The 7,761-nt window shown below is 36.1% G+C and overlaps 1 long non-coding RNA gene across 1 annotated transcript; it reads left to right on the top strand.

The window, feature by feature from the left end:
- The first annotated feature begins 226 nt into the window (after nucleotides 1-226).
- Nucleotides 227-5,890, top strand: LOC107986380 (uncharacterized). The gene is made up of 2 exons (XR_001742510.1): nucleotides 227-352; nucleotides 3,117-5,890. It is a non-coding gene; the product is annotated as an uncharacterized LOC107986380 (long non-coding RNA).
- The last annotated feature ends 1,871 nt before the right edge of the window (nucleotides 5,891-7,761 follow it).

Genomic DNA, 7,761 nt, shown 5'->3' with positions numbered 1-7,761 from the left:
AGGGCATACTTTACACTTACTCTACATCTCAATTTGGATACACTACATTTCAAGTGTTCAATGGCCACATGTGGCTGGTAGCTACTATATTGGCCAACACCGGTTTATGCCTTTCCATGTGTGTGTCTTGTATTTGTATAAGTGTTACGGATATGTTATTATTAGACTGTCAACTTTGAGGACGGGATCCCTGTATGATTTGTCTTTTTCCCTTCCACAGCATTTTGCATATAATAGGCACTCACTCAGTGGGTTGAATGAATCAATATATTAACAAAGAAACAAATAAATGAATGAAGAGAAGAATGAAAACTCATAAAGAGCCAGTTTCCTTTATTCATCTGAAAATTTGGTAAGTTGGCACTGTCCGAAATGTTACTTTATTATAGTCACATGATCTATTAGTATTCTACTACTTGATTCAACCAATATTTACTGAGTACTTAATATAAATAAGGGATTGTGCTAAGTACTACAGTTATATCATATTGAATAAAGACACAATTATTGCTCTAAATGACCTTAGTTTTAGTGGTTCCTAAGTTAGAGATGAATTGCAATTTTCTGTGTACCAGTTTTAAAAAGAAAAAAATAGCTCATCATGCTGTTCAGTAATCTAGGGTCTTAACACAACTAAAGAGTTAAATGTATTTATTTAAAAATTTATCATTTTAGCTATGCCAAACAACTTTCATAAAATATGTGAGTTTTTTCCCATATTCCATCATTTTAGAGGTGAACAAAATGAGGGAGTATTTTAAATTCACATTACTAACTTGCAATAAGTTATCCCTAAGGGACTTAAGAACTTAGTATTATTTTGTGCTTCATGGAAAAAAATTGACACTGAGTGCTATAAATATATCAAGGACCAATCCAATTCAATGGCTTGGGCACATAAATTCCTCAGGGGAGTTTCAAAATCCATGTTCTGGCCCTGAATACTTAATTATGTCTTTGGACTTTTAGTCAGTAGAAAATATTTACTTGTCTGAGGCCTTTCCTGAATGGGAATTCTTTGAGGGCCAAGAGTGTCTATCTATCTATCTATCTATCTATCTATCTATCTATCTATCTATCATAGTCTCTCTACCTACCTATCTGTCTGTCTTAGTCTATTTTGTGTTGCTATAACAGAATACCTGAGACTGTGTAATTTATAAAACCAGAGACTTATTTCTTACAACTTTGGAGACTGGGAAGTAGAAGATGGAGGGGCCCACGTCTGATGAGGAACTTCTTCCTGTGTCATCTCATAGCAGAAGGCAGGAGGGCAAGAGATTATGTGTGCAGGAGAAAGAGAGGGGGTGGAAGAGAGAAAACGGGGGCTGAATACATCATCATCCTTTTATCAGGAATTCACTCGTGAGGGCAGAGCCCTCATAATCTAATTACCTCTTGAAGGTCCCACGTCTCAACATGGTTGTGCTGGGGATGAAGTTTACAACACATGAATTTTGCAGACACATTCCAACCCTAACACTATTAATCTACCTATCTATTTACCTACCTACCTATCATCTGTCCAATTGTGCACCTAGCACAATTTCTGGCACATATTGGGGCGTAAATAAATATGTTAAGAGAATAATGCAAAGTAAAATCCATGATGATTTTCATTTGTGATTCATTACATGAATCCTCTAAGTAATTTGCATTTGCCAGATGAGGAGAAAATGTGAATGACTAAGGTTGCACACTCTATTATACTCTTTTTCACTGACTAACTATATCCACAAATTTGTGGTGTACTTTCCTATAATGGTTTTATTTCCTCACACCTTTTCTGCTTCATCTGACTCACATTGTTACAACCCTTACATATTAATCATTTTGAAACCACAGTACTCTGAATCATTGATGGGTTACAATGAAATACATCCACTAGGAAGTGAGAGCACTTCTAGGAAACATCTTGGTGCCACGTGCCTATTTTGATAAGGTTCCAGGCTATCAATCTGGGCCCACCTAGAGCAAAGTACTAGAATTGATCTTCAGTATTCCTATAGGTTAACTGAGAAGTGCAAGGACATTTATTAATACTGTCAGAGTTTCCTGAGGCTATTACATGACTGGGGATGTACTGCATTTTAACCTTATTTCAACCACTTAGGATTTTTATAATCAAAGGTTATAGTATATGATTGAGGAATGAGTTTTTACACAGCAACTCTACAGTGGACATCAAACTTTTCCTTTTCCTGCTCAAGGTCCATTTGCATGTCATTAGAAGCTGAATTTCTGTGGTTTGTTTCTAGACATAAAAATTGGTTGTCAAAGCCTCTTGGGCTTAGAAGCCTTTAATCTTCCTATCTAACCATCTTAACATGGGTTATGTTTGTTTTGATAAACATACTAGTAAAAGATTTTAAGCAGTTTGGGCTCTGTGAGAGACAAATATGCTGGCTGAATAACTGAATGGATTACTGGAAGGCTCTAGAGTGGATGTTTTACTGGTTGTGAAATCAAAGGCTGTTATAATCTCGGTTGATATTTAAGTGTTACAATATGCTGCCTACAGACTAGGAAGGTTACATGTCAATCTAAAATTCTAAGTACTTGATATCTTTATGTATTATCACTCACCATTAGTATCTCAGTACTTTCATTTTTTCCAGTTAAAGATAATTTGTTTTTAATGTTAATTTTTCTCTTAAAAAGTATGTAATAACTGAGCCAATTCTTTGGAAACATTTACAATTTCTCCTGGGATTATAAAGCTCTCCAGGATTTCAACTTCCTCTCGAGCCAATTTGGTAAAATAAAATATGATGCCAGAGTACTGGACATTGGGACTCATGGCTTATAATCAAAACAACATTATCGTTTTGATATACTCCCAGCAAAACCCCTTTCTGTAGGTCTAGTTCTTCTCTGCCCTTGGCCCCATATTTTCCCCCACTGACTCCTAGAAATCATGTCCCTTTCAGTTATAAGAAGAGTTTTATTTTAGAATTAATATGTCATGCCTACTGTAACAATTAAAAAGCAAACAAAAGCTGGGTCTTTACCTAATTTAGGGCTGCTACAGGCCAACCTACAGGGTGAAGGGCATGTTGCTGGCTTCTCTAGTTCCCCTGCCTTGTTCTTCTCTTCCTCTGCTATCATTTCCCCAGGTGGTGTTGGACTCCTGCAAGGTATAAGAAAGATGAGGGAAGGAGAGGCATACTTACAAGATGCAGCCATCATCTGGCACTCATTTCCTGGAGTTGAGGCCATTGTTTAAATCAAACTCTATCCTGGGAGTGCCGTGTGGACCTTCCAGAGATCCTGCAGGGCCTTTTGGAGCACCTCTCTGGACTAAAGCAGTTGGTCACACAATCTCCCTATGCATGGATATCTCAAATCTGTTTCTGCCAAGGTGTCCAGCCCAGAGAGGCATGCTCTTGGGTGTTGTTATGGGTTGTACTGTGTCCCCTAAAGAGAGATGTTGAAGTCCTAACTTTTGGTAATTGTGAATGTGACCTTTTTTTGGAAATAGGTTATTTGCAAATGTAATTCACTTAAGACGAGTTCATCAGGGTGGACCCTAATCCAATATGACTGGTGTCCTTATAATAAGAGAAGACAGAAATACACAGGGAGCGTGCCGTGTGACAACAGAGGCAGACACTGAACTGATGTTATTGCAAGCTGAGGAACATAAAGGATTGCCGGCAACACCAGAAGCTAGGATGACTCAAGGAATGACCCTCCTCTAGAACCTTCAGAGAAAGCACGGCCCTACTGACAACTTAACTTTGGACTTCCAATCTCTAGAACTGTAAGATAATAAATACCTGTTGTTTTAAGCCACCAAAGTTTGTGGCACATTTTCTTGTTATAGCAGCCCTAGGAAACAGAGCTATCCATATTTGTATAGATTGTATGATACAGTTGCACAGCTTCCAGTGACCGCCATTATAGAAGCTAGGAAGAGTCAAGGAAGAGAGTTCTGTCAGAGACTCAGAGGGAGCTGAGTAGCCAGACCAGGCTGACATCTTGATTTCAAAGTTTTAGCCTCCAGAAAGAACACATTTTTTTTTGTTTGAAGCACCCAGTTTGTCGTACTTTGTAATAGCAGGTCTGGGAGACTACCATGGATGGTATCCCTTCCAATGACTCCATCATGATATTATCACTGAGCATTTCCCATACGGTGTCCAGGAATTATGTGCATACAACCCACCACAAGTGAGAAAGTAGTCATTTCCCAGCTTTGCCACTGGGCTCTGTTTTCAAGGATGAGTCAGGTAGCAGCCCACTGTGTGTCCCAGACTGCAGGGGACACATTTTCCCTCACTGGGGCAGGAGGAGGAACTGACATTGAGCCAACACCCTTTTATTTCTAACAGCTTCAACCCTTTCATAGCTTCTCGTTGGCATTAGGCTGTATGGATAAGAGGCCTCTATTGCAGGATCTGCACAAGTCATTCAGTGCCTCACTTTGGAGATTGGAAATACTGCACCTGTTCTTTTAGTTTCTGACTTTTGGAGCTTTTGAGAAAACTGAAACAGAAATTGTCCCATTTCGATATTCTGATTTAAACCTAAATTAATTTCTGCCAGATTTTCAGGTTTATTGATATTAAGTTGCACAGAGTGTTTTTTAAAGTTTAAAAAATCTTCTTTGGATATATTTGGTTTTTTTCTCTCACATGTTTTCTTAATCAAACTTGCTGACCTTTGTTTTGTATTCTGTACTAGTCTCTAAAAAAAGAATCATCTTTCTATTTTACTGATAATTCTACCAATATATTTGTTATCAATTTTACTATTTTTCCTTTTAATATTTATTACTTTCTATCATCTCTCTGGTTTATTTCATTGCTTAGCTTCTAGAGTTGAATACTTCTTTGGTTTTTATGCAAAATTTTTTTCTAATAAATGCATTTTTTTTCCCTTGGGTATCAGCTTGGCCATGTAGGAGACATGCCCAGCCAGCGTTCATCTGCCTGCCTCACCTTTTCCTCTTTTCTACTTGCTGTATGGAACTTACATCTGGTTAGGAATCGGTCCCACTACATTAGATACATAGGGCTGTCATGCCAGTTTTCTATATGGTATTTTTAAAAATTCTGCCTTGTTTCTTCTTTGATCCAAAATTTATTTAGAAGACCTTAGTCTTCTAAATATCTGCTGATGCTTTGGAATGGTTGCTGGCCTTTTGTTGTTAGCTTTTGGGTTACTGACCCTTTGATGTTAAATTTGAATTTTCATTGGATTTTAATTTACTGGATTTTAATAAAATTTTATTATATTTCAATAAGTTAAAAGGGTCTGCATGAGTTGTGCTTTGAAAATTTGTCACCATTTAAAAAAATTTCCCAATATATTGTAAATTTGTGAATGTTCCATCTGTTTGAAAATAACATGTATTCTGTTCCTTGGATACAAAGTTCTACCACAATTTATAGATCAAGCAATTGAATTATGCATCCTAAATTCTCAATATCTTTAATTTGTTAATTAATATTTAAAGATACACTTGTTGAAGTTTCTCATTGTGATTATGAAATTGTTTATTTTTCTTTTAATAAGATTTTTATTTCAAAATTAAGTTGTTAGGAGCACAAATATTCATGATAATAGTAAAGTTTTAATGGAGTTAACATTTTATTAATATGAAATATCCATCTTTGTCCCCTTTCAGTAGTTTTTATCCTGAATTCTACTTTATCTCATTTTAATGTCCCTATATATGCTCTCCTTTTGTTAGCCTTTGCTTTCAATACCTTTTTGCCTTCTTTTATTTTTAACCTCCCTATGTTGTGTCATTGTATTTGGATTTCTGAAAAATAACAAATGGCTGTAACATTTCTCCAGTAGGAGAATCTTTGTCTTTTAATATATACATTTAACCCAGGAAAATGTATCATGATTACTGATAAAATTGACTATGTTCTCAGAACCATAGTTCGTAGTTTATCTTTTATATGCTTTCTTGCCGTCTCTTTTCCTTAACTGCTTATGTGATTAAGTTATTTGTTCCTTTTTTTCCTCCAAATGATTTGGGAGTAAGGCATCCTAATTCTCAGTGGTTAACCTCAAGTCTTTAATAAGTATGCTTAAATATATACAGAAAATCAAATCAAAACCACAATGAGATACCTACCATCTCGCATCAGTTAGAGTGACTATTACTAAAAAGTCAAAAAATAACAGATGCTGGTGAGGTTGCAGAGAAAAAGCAACCCTTATACACGGTTAGTGGGAGTGTGAATCAGTTTAACCATTGTGGAAGACAGTGGGGCGATTCTTCAAAGACCTAAAAACAGAAATACCATTTGACTCAGCAATCCCATTACTGGGTATATATATACCCAAAGAAATATAAATCTTCTATCATAAAGACACATGCATGAGTATGTTCATTGCAGCACTATTCACAACAGTAAAGACATGGAATCTACCTAAATGCCCACAATGGTAGACTGGATAAAGAAAATGTGGTACATATATACCATGGAATACTAGGCAGCCATTAAAAAAGACTGAGATCATGTCATTTGTAGGAACATAGATGGATCTGGAGGCCACTATCCTTAGCAAACTAACACAGGAACAGAAAACCAAATACCACATGTTCTCACTTATAAGTGGGAGCTAAACAATGAGAACACATGGACATATAGAGCAGAAAAACAGACACTGGGACCTATTGGAGGGTGGAGGTTGAGAGGTGGGAGAGGATCAGGAAAAATAACTAGTGGGTACTAGGCTTAATACCTCAGTAATAAAATAATCTGTTCAACAAACCCTCATGACATGAGTTTACCTATGTAACAAACCTGCGCATGTACCCCTGAACTTAAAATAAAAGTTAAAAAAATGTCAAAAGCTAGAGTCAATCAGCATGTATATTTCTCCTCCTGGGATGACAAGAACATCACCTTTCTTTCTGATATCCCTCCCTGTTCTTCCTTGCCACATGCCCCTCTGCAGCCTCCTAGCTCCCAATCAGCTTCATCTCATTTTTCTCTCTCCCTGCAGTGGAGTAGGTGGGTTGGCAGCAGAAGTAATTTCAGGTTCCTCAATTCTTCTGCATTGCTGGTGAGGGTCTTAAGTGCTGAAAGTCATTCATACTGAAAATAGATAATTCTCTTGTCAATACTGACAAACTCTTACAACATACTTTTGATGAATTATTTACTCTAACACAATCTTTGTCTCTTTTCTTCATTTAACCAAAGACTCAGTTCCATGACCCGAAGAAGACGGATGTAGAGAGCAAAGAAAGAGGAGTGGAAAAACTCTCCTATATTGAAATAGCACAACCTTTCAATATTTAGTCATTACTAGATAAACAATAAAAAAAAAAGACAAATCACATAGGCAAAAGAATTTTTGTAGTACCAAAATATATAAAACCTGAATATCAAGGCTGCTTCCGAAAACATTAAGAAACAGAACACGACATGAAACATGTTACTGAAAAATGCAAATGACTGATATACACATAAAAAGATGATGAACATCAGTAATAAGTAATGAAAAATAAATGTAAGCCACAGTGAAATGCCATTTTAAAAACTGTGCTTGTCAGATTGGCAAAAAAATTAAAAAGTGAGTGAAAGTACCAAATATTGATGAGGATGTAGGAAAACTATAATTTTGCTTTTTGTTGAAAGGACTGTAGACTGTTACAGTCTTGTAGATAGATTGGTACAAACTTTAAAAAATATTTTGGTTATGTCTATTAATTTATTATTTCTATTAATATAAAATATAAATTACCTAAAGAACCAGGATCACACTGCTAAGAATTGATCTTATAGATAT

The sequence above is a fragment of the Homo sapiens genome, chromosome 5 (assembly GCF_000001405.40).
Source record: "Homo sapiens chromosome 5, GRCh38.p14 Primary Assembly".
NCBI lineage: Eukaryota > Metazoa > Chordata > Mammalia > Primates > Hominidae > Homo > Homo sapiens.
The sequence above is the reverse complement of the archived record's forward strand: the minus strand, read 5'-3'. Positions and strand labels throughout refer to the sequence as shown.